Genomic DNA, 15,968 nt, shown 5'->3' with positions numbered 1-15,968 from the left:
CTATCTGCCCTTTCCCCTCCCAGCCCCTAGAAAGCCCTGGAGCTTAGTCCTAAATAGGTCCAGAGCCTAGACCCTACCAGTCCATGTGAGCCCCAGGCTGAAATGTTCCCTTCTCACACCACAGCAGTCCTGGGCTCTCTAAACTCCCTGGACCCTGACAGAGCTATACCCTGACAAGGGGGGCACTGGTCCTTGGCGCCCCAGGTTCAAAAGTGAGTATCAAGAGGATCAAACACAAAGGCTTTTCCAGTGAGGACCAGAGTTTCCTCTCAGCAAAACAGCGGCAGACAGAAAAAGCAACAAGTAGGATGCCAGGCCCTGGGACCCCAGAGGAGCAGAGATCAGGACTGGGGTGGGCACCAGAGGGCTGGGGGCAGGAAGGCTGACTTGCACTAGGGAAGCAGGCCCCAGCCTCCAATATCTCCTGTTTATCAATTTCTCCCTATTAAATCTAGTCTTTAAGGGTCCCCTCCACCCCTTCCGGCCATCCCTTCTCTATCACCAGACCCCCATGGGGTCTGCTGTCATTTCCAGGAGAGGGAGGCAACAAGGAGAGAGAGGCACCCAAGCCCACAGGAGCTTCTTGCTCTTTGCAACCTGCTTTCTGCTCCTCCCTTGGGCCTGGGGGAAGGGAGGGGGATGAAGGGGAGGTCAAGGGTCAGGGATGAGTGGGGTACAGGAGGTGTTAATGTGCTGGTTACAGCTAAGTGGGGAGGGGTACCTCAGTCACCATAGTGAAGCGGAAAAACCTCTTCTGGGAAGGGGAGAGGGAGAAAGGAAGAGAAAGTTGACAAAGAGAACAAGGACTGGGTTGGAGCCTCTGTAGAGGGCAGGCTGGAGGCCTTTGCTCCCAGAGCCCCACCAGGCCACCCCTTCCCCATGGCTGTCCCTCTGGCCCCCCTCTGGTGCCCTCCACCCCTGACCTTGGCTGCACTGCGCAGGTGGTCGTAGTACACTTCCTCAATGGCCTGGAAATAGATGACTCCCTTCAGCTTCGTCTCATGCTTGTCTGCAAAGCAAGTAAGGGTGGGCTATGGAGCCGGTCACACTTCAGGTCTAGCTCCATTTACGTGGAGCTCCATGGCCTGAGCTTCCAAATCTGGGAAATGGGGTGAAGATCCTAGTCTCCCAAGACCCCCAAACAGAACCCAATACAGAATCCTAAAGATATGGATAATGCTCAGCCTCACTCATAATCACAGAGAAATACAAATCAGAACTCCACTGAGATACCACTTCTCACCTACCCCAATGACAAAAACATACAACAAATATACAGCACACTTTTGGCAAGTCTATGGTGAAGGAGGCAGTCTAATGACATGTGGGAGTATAAATTGGTAAAACCCTTATGAACAATTTGGCCATGTCTATCAAAATTAGAAAGGCATTTATCTTTTGATCCAATGCTTACATTTAGGAGAATTTCTCTTTCACATATACAAAGTAACACACACAAGATTATTAAGTATAGTATTGTCTGCAGTCACAGAAGATTGGAAACAACCAAAATATCAATCAAGTGGAGACTGGTTAATAAGTTAGTGTGTGTCACATCATGGAAGACTAAATACAGCTGTTAAGTAAAATGATATAGGCCAGGCATGGTGGCTCATGCCTATAATTCCAGCATTTTGGGAGGCCGAGGAGGGTGGATCACCTGAGGTCAGGAGTTCGAGACCAGCCTGGCCAACATGGTGAAACCCCGTCTCTACTCAAAATACAAAAATAAGCCGAGTGTGGTGGTGCATGCCTATAATCCCAGCTATTCGGGAGCCTGAGGCAGGAGAATCACTTGAATCCGGGAGGCGGAGGTTGCAGTGAGCTGAGATCACGCCACTGCACTTCAGCCTGGGCAAAAAGAGCAAAACTCTGTCTCAAAAAAAAAAAAAAAAAAAAAGAGAAAGAAAGAAATATCTGATACAGATACAGACTCAGAAATAAGTCTATAATTTATATCGAGATATAATGTCTAGATATAGATAAATTTGATATAAAATGATCTCTAAGACACATTAGGAGGTAAAAAGAATGTACTGTATGCCACCTTTTGTGCAAGAAAAAGTATTTGTTTATATTCTCCTATAGAAACTCTATAAGGATACACAAGAGATTTATAAAATTAGTTACTGTAGTGGGTGGGGCATAATTCTCAATTTAAACCTTTTTATATATTTTTTATTTTTGAACTATATGAATACTTTTACCTATTTTTTAAAAAAAAAGATAGGAAGCACACTCCCTTGATGTGTACAGAGCAGTTAGCATATACATATAGCATATAGCCTCTGGAGGTCAGAGGTGGCAGGAAAGGGGCAAACTACCTGAGCAGAGGTGACCATTCAGTGAGAAGGGGCAGGATCCCTGTCAAGGGAAAGCACAGGGCCTGGGCCAACTTGTCTGTGGCACTGCTCAGATGCTACAGCTGACATCCTTAACAGTGAGCCTGCGTCCTACAGGAGAGGTCACGCGAATCACTAAATTCAATGGTGCCGGCTGGAAGTAAGTTCCTTCCCGAGTGCTCCTCCTCTCCCCGACCTCTGCAGCTTGGTAAAGGCAACTTACGGACTGCTGCCAACATGTCCCTCCAGCCTTGTATCATAACCTTCCCCTGCATGAGTCCCAAGTCCTATCTGAGCTTCTCACTGTTCCCTTAATAATACACCCTGTATGCTGGAACTATCTCCTCCAGCCCATTTCCTTAGCAAACTCCTAAATGATCTTCAAGACCCATTGCAAAATGTCACCACGACAGTGCACAGTTGTGCTCTCCTGTGTTCCCAAAGCACAGATGCTCCTCTGTATAGAACTTATGCTGAATCTGAATCCTCCTTTATCCATTCCATGGTCTACCTCCCCCAACACAAACAACTATGTGCCTGGCACACAGTAGGTACCCAATACTGAAGGAATGAGTCCTAGACACTGGGATTCAGAGAGAAGTCAGAGACCCTTCTCTTAGGAAACTACAATCTCACAGTGAGGAAAATACAGACACACAGCTATGTAAATAGCTACTAAAGGCATGGCTAGGAACCCCATGAGACCACCTACGCATCACAGGTTGTCATGAGTATTAAATGAAAGAACACATTTAAGGTATTCAGCACAGTGTGTGGCACATAACGTGGCACTGTTATTATATCATTACACTCCTGGATTGATGTCACATGGAAAAACAGATGCTGGATAATGCAGGGGTTCAGAGGAGGGTGGGAATCACTCCTAGTAAGGTGGGGTCAGGAAAGGCTTCCTAGATATAATACGTAATCTGGACTCCATGCAATGAGGGGGTTTCTATCGAGTTGGCAGGAAGAGGGTCCAAGCGGAATAGGCAAGGCACCCATGGCCCTTATCCAGCCACAGGCCCATTTCTGACATTTCCTCCTTGGTAAAGGACCAGCCCTGCCTGGCTCTGGGCCTGCTCAGCCCTCCAGCTCCTGTTCTCTCCCATCCCTTCCTTCACAGGAAATAGTAACACACTCCTGCCTCCGCTTCCTTACCACCCACCTATCCTCAATCTTGTGCAGTCTGGCTCCTGGCCCCATGCACAGCAGAAAGCCTTCTCTTGACAAGCTCCCATCCCTGAGTCTAACAGCCTTTGGGCCACATCTTTCTTGGCCTTCCTGCAGCATCCATCACTGCTGGTGACACCTCCTGCTTGTGAATGTCTGCTCCTTTGGCTGGCTTCCTTCCCTGTTTCTGCTCCCATTTCTATTCCTGCCATCTGAACTTAGTCTCCTTTTGTTCCACAGGCGCTAACTAAGGCCACATATGCCAAGCACCAGCCCAGCACCTGGCATGTGGTTAGTGCTGGCTTCCTGTCTCCTGCCCCTTCTCCCTCTGCTGGTCTCTCCTCTTTCTCCTTCCCCACACGGGTAGGCCTGCCCCAGGGTTCGGCCCTCTCCCTCCCCTCTTCTCTGCTCTGCAGTCTGACTGCCCAGGTTCAGTCTTATCTCTGTCTCTTAGGAGCTGTGGGACCTTGGGCAATTTACTTAACCTCTCTGAGCATCATTTTCCTCATCGGTAAAATGGCATAAAAATAGTGTTTCCCTCATAGGATTATTTCAAAGATTAATGAGATGATGCATGCAGAGTGCTTAGCACAGCGCCTGGCTCATGCAAGTGCTTGATAAAGGTGATCTGCTATTACTATTATTCCACCTGATTCAACTATTACTCCACCTCTAATCCTGACCATCCTCCTAAACCTAGATGTCCCAGAGGCACTTCAATCTCAACATGCCTAAAATGGAACTCCTTTCCCCAGGCATGTTTCTTCCTCTCCAAAGTCCCTAGTCCCTCTACCTTCCTGGCCCAGAGAGAAACATGGGACACCTGTGCTTCTGGTCCTCCTGCCTCCTCAAAACACCCAAGACCCAGGGTGGTCAGGGAAGGTTTCTTAGAGGGGCCAGCAGGTGATCAGGGACCAGGTTAGGGGGGAAGTGGGCACTCCAGACCTGAGCATCTCTGGCACCAAACTCTGCAGCCCTTTCCCCTCTTCTGAGCTCCTAGCAGGATTGCTCTTCCCAGCTGTGTGGCTAGGTGAGGCTGTGTGACTGGCAGACAGCCCCATCTATGACTTCTGGACAGAAATGATGTGTGTCACTTCCCAACTAGGACATTTAATACCAAGGCCGGGCTCACTTAAGCCTCTCTTTCCCTCTGCCACTGTGGCCAGAAATGTTCCCAAAAGCCATGCTGAAGCAAAGACAACGCTGATGCACAGCAAAGCCCCCACCAACTCACAATGTGCAGTCGACATGTATTGGGCATAAGGAAGCCTAGTACTTGTAAGCCACTGAGATTTCCTTTTTTTTTTTTTTTTGAGACGGCGTCTTGCTCTATCGCCAGGCTAGAGTGCAGTGGCACGATCTCAGCTCACAGTAACCTCTGCCTCCTGGGTTTAAGCAATTCTCCTGCCTCAGCCTCCCGAGTAGCTGGGACTACAGGCGCGTGCCACCATGCCCAGCTAATTTTTGTATTTTTAGTAGAGACGGGGTTTCACCACGTTGGCCAGGATGGTCTCAATCTCTTGACCTCGTGATCTGCCCGCTTCGGCCTCTCAAAAGTGCTGGGATTACAGGCATGAGACACCATGCCCGGCCTTTTAATTTATTTTTTTGAGACAGAGTCTCACGCTGTTGTCCAGGCTGGAGTGCAGTGGCGCAGTCTCGGCTCACTGCAACCTCTGTCTCTTGGGTTCAAGCAATTCTCGTGCTCAGCCTCCCGAGTAGCTGGGACTACAGGTGCATGCCACCACGCCCAGCTAATTTTTGTATTTTTAGTAGAGACAAAGTTTCACCATGTTGCCCAGGCTGGTCTCAATCTCTTAGCCTCAAGCTATCTGCCCACCTTGGCCTCCCAAAGTTTTGGGATCACAGGTGTGAGCCACTGCACCTGTCCAGCCACTGGGATTTTATGACTTCTTGTTACTGCAGCATACCTTACCTCCTCCTGACTAGGGTATAACACAGCATCCCACGCTCCAAGTGGGAAAAGTACAAGGGAGTTCCAGGGATGGGAAACTAGGCTAGATGCTGGAACGGAGAGAGCTGAGAGAGCAAGAGGGTCTAGTCGGCCTGTTCCTGGGCTATCCTGAGCACTCTTTGGCACTGTTCAACTGCTTGTCTTGGAATCTCTGATGGAATTTGTCCAAGGGGGAGTTCCCAGCCCAACTCTGACCATAAGACCCCATGCTCCTGCAGTGCCTGGATGTCTCCTATCAGCATACCCATTGTGCGTGGTTATCACTCTTGTCTGCTTCCCTGATTATAAGCTCCATGAGAGCGCTGTGGCCATCTTACTCATCACCAGAGCCTAGAACAGTGCCTAGAACTTACTAGATGCTTAGTAACATTGCTGAATGAAGGAATGAATGAATGAACACAAAAATGGAGGTGAACCAGGTACATTGTGTACATTTTCAGGGAAGGAGGGCAAAGCCTAGCCCAAGACTCTGGTCCCCTACTTGGAAGCTTGGCCTCCTTCTAGAAGACCAGCCGTCCTGGGTAACAGAGCCCAGGGATCCTGGCTGGCCCCCAGGGTGGCCTTGTGGGAACTCACCCACATAATAGGAAAGGGTGCGCTTGAGCCGGTCGAAGACAAACCAGCGCTTCTTCCATGATTTAATCTTGCCGCCCATCTTGACCAAGTAGCCACGGCAGACCTGGTAGGAAGCAGGAGTAAGGAAGGACCCAAATATGCAGCCCTTAAGCCTTAAGTGTGTGCCATCGCCTGTGCCTGTATTCATGGGGGATTGTCCCCAACATCTCCTCAGGCCAGCACACCAGGTCCTGGGACAGAGATCTGGTTAGGTGAGGGTAGAGACTGACGCCACTATTCCAACGACCCAGGAGGTGCCTCTCACCACGGGATTCTCCCTCTCCCCAGCACCCCAGGGCCACACACGCCTTGTACCTTGCTGCTGAGCACCACGTGCAGGCAGGTATCAACACCATGGCCCGATGACTCAATATGTGTCTTCAGGTCAAAGTCCTCCTTCCGGATTGGCAGGTAGCGGGTCAGGGGTCGTGCCTGGGAGCAAGAGGGAGGGTCAGGAGAGTCTCCTCTCTTCCCTCATTATTCCCCTGTCCAGGCCCCTTGGCTTCACTTCTAAACCCCAACAGCCTGACATCACACCTCCCTAACCCATGGCGGTCACTGTGGCTCCACAGGGCTTATGGCAAAAGTGGAGACCTACCATGCCTATGTTGACTCTACCTAGGGCCGGGCAAACTGCGAAGTCACTCTGTGCCTCAGTTTTCCCACCTATGACCAAGACACGGCATCTTTGTCTTGCCCTGCCCCTCCTTTCCCTCCTGAGCCAAAGAGAATACAGCAAGAGGCCAGATATGAACGTGGTCTGGGAAGAAAAGCCCAATAAGAAATCTAGTTTCTGACTTCGCATGGGACCTTGTTTGGGTCACATCCCTTCTCTGGGCCTCAGTTTCCTTCCATGTAAAACGCCGGCTTTGAACTAGATAATTACTAAGGTCTACTCTACCTCTGATACTAACTAGAATTCTCAGTCAACCGGAATATTTTTCTACTCTTCCTGTCCCAGAAGAACATTAAAATGGCCAGGAAACATCATATATTATTTAAAGAAAAAAACAAAACACACGACCCCACAGATAGCTGATTCTACCCATCTCCCACACCAGACACCAGTGGCCACTGCAGCAATGCCTGAGCCCCAGGACAGGGGCTAGAAGAGAGACTCCCAGAACAGTCACTGACTGAAGCAGGAAAGGGAAGCCAAGCATTTTACAAATATTCCAACCACGGGGGTAAAATTCACAGAGCTTCTTTTTTCTTTTTTTTTTTTCCTGAGACAGAATTTCACTCCATCATCCAGACTGGAGTGCAGTGGCATGATCTCGGCTCACTGCAACCTCCACCTCCTGGATTCAAGCGATTCTCATGCCTCAGCCATCAGAGTAAGCTAGGATTACAGGTGTGTGAAACCACGCCCAGCTAATTTTTGTATTTTTTGTAGAGATGGGGTTTTGCCATGTTGGCCAGGCTGGTCTCTGAACTCCTGGACTCAAGTGATCTGTGTACCTCGGCCTCCCAAAGTGCTGGGATTACAGACGTGAGCCACTGTGCCCAGCCCCTTCTCATTATTTCCCAAACCCAATCCAGATGACCTATCCCTTAGGATTTATTTTGTTGCACTGTAGGAAATGAGGGAACTGTGATCACTGCTTGGGAAAGATTCCAGGGGACTCCCAACCTGGGGAAGCCTACTAATCAGAAGGGACAGGCTATCTAAGTCCTACAGATTCTCATGGGGGGTTGTGGGAGTTAGGATTTGGGACCAGAGACATGGGCAGATTTCCCAGCCCAAACCAATTTCTCCTTCTGCTTTCAATTGTTCTGCTCAAGTCTCCTGTTTAAGGAGAAAGGGTAGGGCTGGCTTTTGGGCAAGGAAGGATTTCTGTCCCGAAGAGAAACTAGTACAATTCTGTCTTGGAGATGTAAACCAAAAGTCAGAGTGAGGTCATCCACTGATGGTGGGGACTGGAGCTGAAAGGTCCTGTGGGGTGTGGGCCAGCACACCCTGAAGTTCCACATGCAGGAGGGGCAGCAGGGGAAGCAGACGGGAAGGTGCAGCGCAGGCTCATGAAGCGGATCTGAGGCCCTGGAGAGAGGCCAAGGGGAGCCACTCTGATTCTTGACTACCAGCTCCCATCTCTGGGATGCCTGTCCAGACCCTCTTCTCTGACCCCGGATGTCTGCAAGGTGGCCTGCCACATCCTTACAACCCACTACCCCAGCACACAAACACACACACACACACACACACACACACACACACACACACACACACACACACACAACTTGAATAGTCCTGGTGGGTCTGTTTTGGGGTCAATGAGTCCCAGGTAGAATTCTGCTAGTATTAAGCCAACAGCAATCTTTTCTGGAGTAGAACAGGTTTTACAGCCCAACACAGAAACCCTGGGATCTCCCCACTTCTCTACAGCCCTCACCGTCAAACCAACCACCACTGTGCCCCACTGCCCATTCACCTGGGAAAATTGTTTCTCCCGCATCTTGACCTCCTTCTCGACCAGCTGCTGCCTCCGGGCACTCTCACTCTGCAGCCTCCGTTCTACCTGCTCACGCCTCCGCCGCTCCTCCTCCAGGGCCTGCCGCCGCAGCTCCATCTCCCGCTCCTGCCCCCAAAGCCAAGGGGTCAGCACCTATGGCCATCCTCTTCCCCCCACTGGCCCTCTTCACACCTGGGCAGGGCTGCAGGAGGAATCCACCTCAGGGTAGTCTGGCATGAGGAGGCATCATCTTCAAAGCCCACCCTCTCCAAGAGCCCTGGCTGGTTAAAGAGAAATGCTTTAAGCATGACTGTCCTGACTTCAAACCCTGGCCCCGCTACCACTATGGGCTCTGTGATCCTGATAAAATCATTTAAACTTTTTTTTTTATCTCGCTCACTGCAACCTTCGCCTCCCAGGTTCAAGTGATTCTCCTGCCTCAGCCTCCCAAGTAGCTGGGATTACAGGTGCCTGCCACCATGCCCAGCTAACTTTTTTGTATTTTTAGTAGACAGGGTTTCACCAGGTTGGCCAGGCTAGTCTTGAACTCCTGACCTCAGGCGATCCGCCTGCCTCGGCCTCCCAAAGTGCTGGAATTACAGGCGTGAGTCATCGCACCCAGCCATTTAAACTTTTTAAGCCTCAGTTGCCTCATCTGTGAAATGAAGTTAAGAATGCCCATTCCTGGAATTATAGTGAAAATGAAATTAGATCATGTAGATAAATGCCCATCACTGATTCCAGTTGGAAAGCACTCAAAAAATAAATGGGGCTCTTACAATTGTATCTGAATCCTCGCAACATGGGTTATCTAGACAACTTTTTTTGACAGCTAATATATAGTCCTTTCCCAATCACTAACTGAAGGCCTTCTGAAACTTCAAATTAGAAACATTTGCTATTGAACTTCAAACTTTATGGGAAAAAAGTGACTAGAGACTAAGGTCAGAACTGAACTTATAAAAGCCACTATAAAAGGATTTTAGAAGTCATTAAAACAAATAATTAAATACAGAGCATGTCAGTGATGCTTTATATGTCTTAATTACTAATAAAGACCTCCTATACCATTAACTCCCATTTACTATTTCTTCCCAGCTCAAAACTTAGCAGAATCTCCTTTCCCCACATTTGCCAGGAGATGCTTATACATTTGCCATATTCAGACATAAATAAGATAGGAGGCATTCTTTTCTGGCTGGTCCTCCATTCAGACTGTCAGTATCTGTTTTTTATTAAATCCCTCAAACTGCTGACCTTACTCTCTGCGTCCCACTCTCATCTCAAATATGCAGAGTGCCTCCAATGGTGGACACAGAACAGCTTCTGCAGATCCTTTATTTATCCTCCTTCCTAGGCACACATTTCATCAGCCTGCCTATGCCCAGGATAAACCATGGGTCCCTCTTTGCTGAATCCCAGCTCCGTGCCCAAGTGAAGGAGCTGTCAGCCCTCTCTGCTCCCAAGGTTCCCCTGCCAACACCTCTACACTGACTTGGACATCTGCCTCCTCTTCTGGTCTATACTTCACTCATAGTTCCTGCTTTTCCTAATCAGCCCCAAGAGGAATGGCCTGCCATACGGGTAGACAGGAATCAAAATTCCTGTAGTTGCCAAAAAGTCTACAGAAGTAAACATGCAAAAACTGGAAGTTTCCATACAGGAAATTATTGGTTAGAGAATGGTTACTATGCTGCCTTCTCTGTTCCTAAGAGCTATGAAGTTGTAATCAAACCAAGCCTCCCTAAGCCTGTTTGAGGAATACAACCTTTTTTTTTTTTTTTTTTTTTTTTTTTGAGACGGAGTCTCGCTCTGTCTCCCAGGCTGGAGTGCAGTGGTGCGATCTCGGCTTACTGCAACCTCCGCCTCCCGGGTTCACGCCATTCTCCTGCCTCAGCCTCCCGCGCAGCTGGGACTACAGGCGCCTGCCACCACGCCCAGCTAATTTTTTGTATTTTCAGTAGAGACGGGGTTTCACCGTGTTAGCCAGGATGGTTTCGATCTCCTGACCTCGTGATCCGCCTGCCTCGGCCACCTGAAGTGCTGGGATTACGGGCATGAGCCACCGCGCCCGGCCAGAATACAACCTTTTAAAACATTTTCTACCCCAAGGGAATGTGGCAAGGCTAATGTGGGTGGAAGGGCTTGGGGTGGAGCACAGGCCCTTGACATGCAGTAGGTAGCTCTGTGCCCCAACACCTTCTGCCTCCCCGATCCAGGTCAGACTCACCCTCGACTCCATGAGCCGGTTCTTCTCTGCATGAGCCTCTTTCAGCATCTTCTCCATCTCCTCGATCTTCCCCATGTCCAGACCACTCGCGCTGGGGAGAGAAGGGGAAGAGGAAGTGCATCAAGGAGCTGAGGCGGTGGCTGAGGGAGGCTGCGGGCCCAGGCGTCGGGTGTACCTGGACATGTTGTCAGGGGAGCAGGCCGAGTTGCCCCCGGTGGAGATGCTGGTCTCCATGCTGTCAGAGCTCTCCAGACTCAGCGTATCATAGGCGTGCTCACCCTCCTCCCCACGCTCCCGCCCCGCAGGCAGGTGGTGTAGGATAGAGTGGTGCATGAGAGGGGGGAAGCCCGAGGGGCCCGCTGGGAAGGGTGCTGCCCCGTGAAGGGCATCCCACTGGCACTGTGCCTCAGCTGCCGCTTTCTGCTTCAGCTCAGCCAGTCGCCGCCGCTGCTCTTCAATCACTTGTTGTCCTGAAGGAGAGACAGATGGGAGTCACAGTGGGCTCCCCACGCAGCTAAGGAGCAGGCCACTGGCAGCACAACACACAGAGGGAGGGGCAAGCAGGGAGAGGTTAACACAGAGCAGCCCCCTCTCCCCGCAGCTTCCCTAAGGCCCCTGCAGCTCCAGGCCTGGCTGCTCTGCCAATGCTTCAGTCGCCTGCACAACCGGCCACAGATGCACAGTCTGGCTTCAGTGCTCTTTCGCACCCTGAGTCCATATAGGACACCAAACCTACCCAAGTAGTGCTGGGGCAGCACGACAGCCAGTTGGCTCCAGCTCACAACCAAGGCCTAAGTAGGTCTAGGCAGGATACATGCACCCACCCTGCCTGCTGGAGAAGGGAGAAGGAAGAGATGGCAGAAACCCCATGAGCACCCAGACTGCCAATGCAGACCCCCCTGCAATGCAGAAGCAAAAGCAACAAACGCAAGAAAGAAGGCAGGGGAGACACGGTAGAGCACAGATGAGGGCAGAAGAGAGGCCAGCTGGAGGGGTGAGGCCAGCAGACACCCCAACCCAGCTCAGCCTGGGACCCTGCCTGCAGGCAGTGGGGACCTGGGCAGGACACATCATGCTGATGCCAGGGCAGGGGCTGCCTGGCCAAAGCAATGCCCTCTATGACCAACGTTCTACCTGCTGGGTCGTCGGTTGGGAGGGGCTCGGCGGGAAGCGACTCGACTGGCGTGGGGGACCCCAGGCAGAGGGTACGGTAGAGACACAGAGGGGGTAAGAGGAGAGAGAGGCACAGACATGGGCTTTCAAAACAACCAAATTGCACACAAGCAACAAGGACTCCTGGGTCCCCAGAGCCAATATCTCAGGCAACCATTTCTAGAAGTCATCAAATCCATCCCCTCCCTCCAGAGAGGGCAATGTCTAACCCGACTCAGGTCAACAAGCAGTTCCCTTATTGGCTAGGCTCTCTAGGAAAGATGTCACAGCCCCCTAAGCCCTTAGTCTCCTGCCCTGAAGGCTTTAGATAAATATCCAGGAAGCTCTTCTTTAGGTACCCACTCTAAATCCTTTCTGGTCTTGCCTAGATCCCAATTAAAGGAAAAACATCCTGTGAAAGGTGTGAGCATAGAGGAGGCATGGCAACTACCCAGGGTCCCCTCAGGAGAGCAGGTGGGCTGGCGGGGCAGTCACTCACCCTTCTGCTGCAGAGCTAGTTGGCGCTTGGTCTCGATGTCCTGCAGTGTGGCTGCCAGGTTGCGAGGAAGGCTGCCCGTGCCATTCTGGGTGAGTAGAGCGCTCTGCAGAGGAATGGAGAGTTCGGACCTGGGCTCAGAAGGCCCTTACCCCCATTCCCAAGGTCTTGGCCTCTCCCCAGGGTGGAAGTCTCCATCCCCAGCCACATGTGCAGCCCCACCCACTGTCCTCAGACCTTTGGGGAGGGGCTACGCCCCAGGGTAGCCACGCTGAGCTGGGAGGAGGAGGAGGAAGAGCCAGAGGAGGAGGGGAGGGGGCCGCTGCGGGTCCGGGGAAGGGGGCTGGTGGCCTCGCCATCCATCTTGGAGCGGTAAACCTGGAAAGAAAAGATAGTGCCCAGTGATTCCTGGCTCCCCCATTGGCCACCTCCCCCATGTCACCTAGTCTGCTGTGATCTGACGTACCGCCCTGGCACTAGGCCTCTGAGGCCTTCTGGCTCTGACAACAAGCCTCCTGAGCCAGCCCAATGGCCAGATGCTATTGGCAGCTGCCAATTCTCCTTTCCAGGCTGTTCCTCCCTGGGCCAATCCCTAGCCCAACCCTGGGTCTAAGAAAAGACCTGTAAACAGACCCATGCAAGGATTTAATGTCAGTCAGGCAGTTGTGCAGGAGACCAACTAGAAGCTGGGTTCCCTCTGGTCCTAGCTCTGCCACTAACAGGCTGTGTGACCTTGGGCCACACACCTCCCTACTCTGGGCCTTGGCTTCCTTATCTGCAAAAGAAGGGGGTAGGACTAGACTAAATAATGGCCAAGCTCCCCTGCAGCACTAGCATGTGGTGAATATGGCCTTTAGTGTCACAAACCCTGACGTGGCATAAGCTCTGCTACTTCCTAGCTGTGTGGCCTTGGAGAGATTACTTATCTTCTCTAGGCCCCAGTGTTTCATCTATAAAATGAGTTAACTTCATCTACCTCAAAGGCCTATGATGATGATCAGAGAATCAAAACACGTTAAAATCTCTAACCAGCTGGGTACACAGTAGAAGTCTTACATGATCAAACTCCTCCCCAAGGAAACATGAAATTTTAGCTGAGGTCACAGTCTTACAGATGCAGTGCCTTCACTCAAGGGGTGATCTTAAATGGTCAATCTTAGGCACTGCAGCTGGTCAGTGGAGGAAACCTGAGGAGAAGACTAGCCCAGCCCCCTTTCCCACCCCATGGTCAGTTGCTTGCTGCAGGTTCAGGTAGGCCCACGCCCTCCATGGCAACTCTGAGGAGGCTTAGGCTGTCACTTCAGAGTCTTTGCCCTTTGTTTTCTGCTTCCAAGTGTCACTGCTGGAGAGACCAGGAGAACAAAATACTGGCAGTTCTTCCCAGGACACACTAGTTCCAGTTGCCACAGGCCCAAGAGCCTGTCAGGCCCCCAGACTGGGTGAGAAGCTCCAGGTGTTGGGGGCTGCCAAGCATAGGCCAGACCCACAGCCTAGCTCAGCACAGGGCACCAAACAGATCCCAAACTGACCACAGCTCCAGAATCCTCTTCCACCAGACACTCAATCAGATAGTTTTAGACTATGGAGGCTGGCCCCCCGGTTGCCCACATGCCAGGATGGCTGCCCAAGGAGTGACCCTCTCAGGGCCCAGAGGTGCCCTCATTGCCCTGACTGGGCTGACGCCTCCACTCAAGGTGGTACTGTGTGGCTGATGGATTGGCAGGAGGTATCAGAGTGGACAGGTGCAAAGGCTGGGGAGGACGGGCAGTGAAGGAGGGGTTACCTGCAGCTGACGGGAAGCTTTGGCGGGCAGAGGCGGGGGAGAAGAGTGAGGGGAGGCTGCAGCGGGGCCAGTCCCCAGCCCGGCCATCAGCTCCTGGTACCACTGCTCTAAGTCTACAGCAGGGAGCAGCAGCTTCTCCATCTGGAGGTGGGAATGGGGAGGGGAAAAGGGGACAGGAGGGGAGGATGGAGAGGAAAGGCCAGGAAATAAAGGGAAAGGAAAAGGCAGGAGAAGGGAGAAAGAAGAAAGAAGAGGAAGAAGGAAGGGGAAGGTTAAAAAGGAAGGCCACATCAGGGAAATGGACAGGAAGGTGAAGGAAGAAGGGGAGGAAGGAAGGGAGAAAGGAGAGCATCAAGAAAAAGAAGAGAAAAACAGTGAGACAACAGTTGCCCTGAATGTACTAAGGGCAAAGAGAAACAGTCAGGGTACAACTTCCAGACCACAGACATGTGCTACACCAGCCATGAAACCAGCCACCAGACAGAGCCTGCAGGCACTGGGCACTCCCCTTGGGCTGGCCCAGAGCCAAGAGGCCAGGTGAGCAGGAGCAAAACACACACAGAGCACACCAGTCATGGGTGGGGGTAGCAAGAACTCACAAACCACCAACCTTAGGTGAAGGCGTGATGGAAGCGAACGAGGAGGAGGGCAGCATGGGAGGAAGGCAGGTGGTGGGAACCAGGTCCCGGGAGGCGGAGGCCCAGGGAGAAAGGCCTGGCACAGGGGCTGGGGGCATGGGCGAGGTGCCCCGCATCACCTTTAGCTGCTCAAGCATCACGTACTTGGAGCAAGGCCAGACGCAGGAGGGAATATAAGAGGTTAATGGAACCAGAACACATGAGATGGCCCTACCCACAGGGGAAGGGAGGGAAAGGGCAGAAAGTACAGAGCCTGCAGCCTAGGAAAGCCAGAGTCCTCTCAACTCGACACCCTCATCCTAGAGCAGAAGGCGTGCCCCTCCCCAGGCCATAGGAGCTAAAGAAAGCTCCCAAGGCCCCAGGGAAAAAAAGAAACCACTCCCAACCTCCCCTTATGCAGGCTGCCCTTCTCCCTCACTGTCGAACACAGACCCTTCTGTCCCCCTAGCTCCACCCAGGCCCAAGGGGGAATCTAGGCCATCCATAAAGAGGTCCTTGGGCATTGGTGGGCACCCTCGGTGGCTGGTACCTCACTGTCAGGCAGGGGCTGGGCGAGCACACTGGGGGAAGTGGCAGAAGCATAGGGGTCCAAGCGGGAACACAGCTGGAAAACTTCTGCCAGGGTCACATATTCCTGGGGTGCCCAGTAGAAGGGGTAGGGGTGGGCAAAGAAGGGGTTAACAGGGTTCAATAAGGTGCCCAACACCCCAAACTCCATGCCAGGCCACAGGGCCATCACTCCATGTCAATACAAAATCCAAGGCAGGGGTAGGGTGCCTGCTATGCCCATAGATGGCTGCAGGGAGTGACAGAGACCAGAAAAGGGCAGCAGAACCAACTGTCTGAAGGCTCCTCCTGCCCTCCACTCTTAAAGAGCCACTTTGGCATCCAGTCCTGCCCCAAGCAGACCCTGAAGGCCCATGCCTGAATTCGCCCTGGGCTGGGGGCAGGCAAAGAAGCCCACAGAAGGCCTTCTAAGAGTTCACTGAGGATCAGAACCCAGCTTCCAGAGACCCCCTCCCCGTCCCCAACAACCTGGCAGTCCCCAGTGGGGCACACACATGCAGCATTGAGCACCAGTCACACCATTCCCCAGGGTCCCCTCACACCC

The 15,968-nt window shown here is 52.0% G+C and overlaps 1 protein-coding gene and 1 non-coding gene across 50 annotated transcripts in view, besides 1 other annotated feature; both read right to left on the bottom strand.

Moving 5' to 3' along the window:
• The window catches only part of PHLDB1 (pleckstrin homology like domain family B member 1), a 51,593-nt gene that overhangs the window by 1,415 nt on the left and 34,210 nt on the right, over positions 1 to 15,968 (bottom strand). For 13 of the 49 annotated variants that reach the window (XM_047426640.1, XM_047426639.1, XM_047426641.1 and 10 more), the window contains 8 exons: positions 12,674 to 12,814; positions 12,440 to 12,542; positions 10,964 to 11,258; positions 10,789 to 10,879; positions 8,538 to 8,684; positions 6,421 to 6,537; positions 6,067 to 6,169; positions 924 to 1,009 (listed from right to left, as the gene is read on the bottom strand). In XM_047426640.1, the coding sequence (XP_047282596.1) occupies positions 924 to 1,009; positions 6,067 to 6,169; positions 6,421 to 6,537; positions 8,538 to 8,684; positions 10,789 to 10,879; positions 10,964 to 11,258; positions 12,440 to 12,542; positions 12,674 to 12,814 (1,083 nt within the window). Of the gene's footprint in view, positions 1 to 721; positions 755 to 923; positions 1,010 to 6,066; positions 6,170 to 6,420; positions 6,538 to 8,537; positions 8,685 to 10,788; positions 10,880 to 10,963; positions 11,259 to 11,922; positions 11,968 to 12,439; positions 12,543 to 12,673; positions 12,815 to 14,219; positions 14,361 to 14,829; positions 15,001 to 15,968 lie in introns of those variants that run through there. The other 36 variants (XM_011542709.3, XM_011542708.4, XM_011542703.3 and 33 more) reach the window with 13 other exon arrangements.
• Positions 12,140 to 12,639: an enhancer, noted in NCBI's record as "H3K4me1 hESC enhancer chr11:118514693-118515192 (GRCh37/hg19 assembly coordinates)". NCBI's record gives its function as "activates a minimal SCP1, AML or CMV promoter by ChIP-STARR-seq in naive H9 embryonic stem cells {active_cell/tissue: H9 hESC(naive)}" and the evidence as "EXISTENCE:reporter gene assay evidence [ECO:0000049][PMID:30033119]".
• On the bottom strand, positions 12,535 to 12,614 carry MIR6716 (microRNA 6716). The gene has a single exon (NR_106773.1). It is a non-coding gene; the product is annotated as a microRNA 6716 (primary transcript).

Source organism: Homo sapiens, chromosome 11, assembly GCF_000001405.40.
Source record: "Homo sapiens chromosome 11, GRCh38.p14 Primary Assembly".
NCBI lineage: Eukaryota > Metazoa > Chordata > Mammalia > Primates > Hominidae > Homo > Homo sapiens.
The sequence above is the reverse complement of the archived record's forward strand: the minus strand, read 5'-3'. Positions and strand labels throughout refer to the sequence as shown.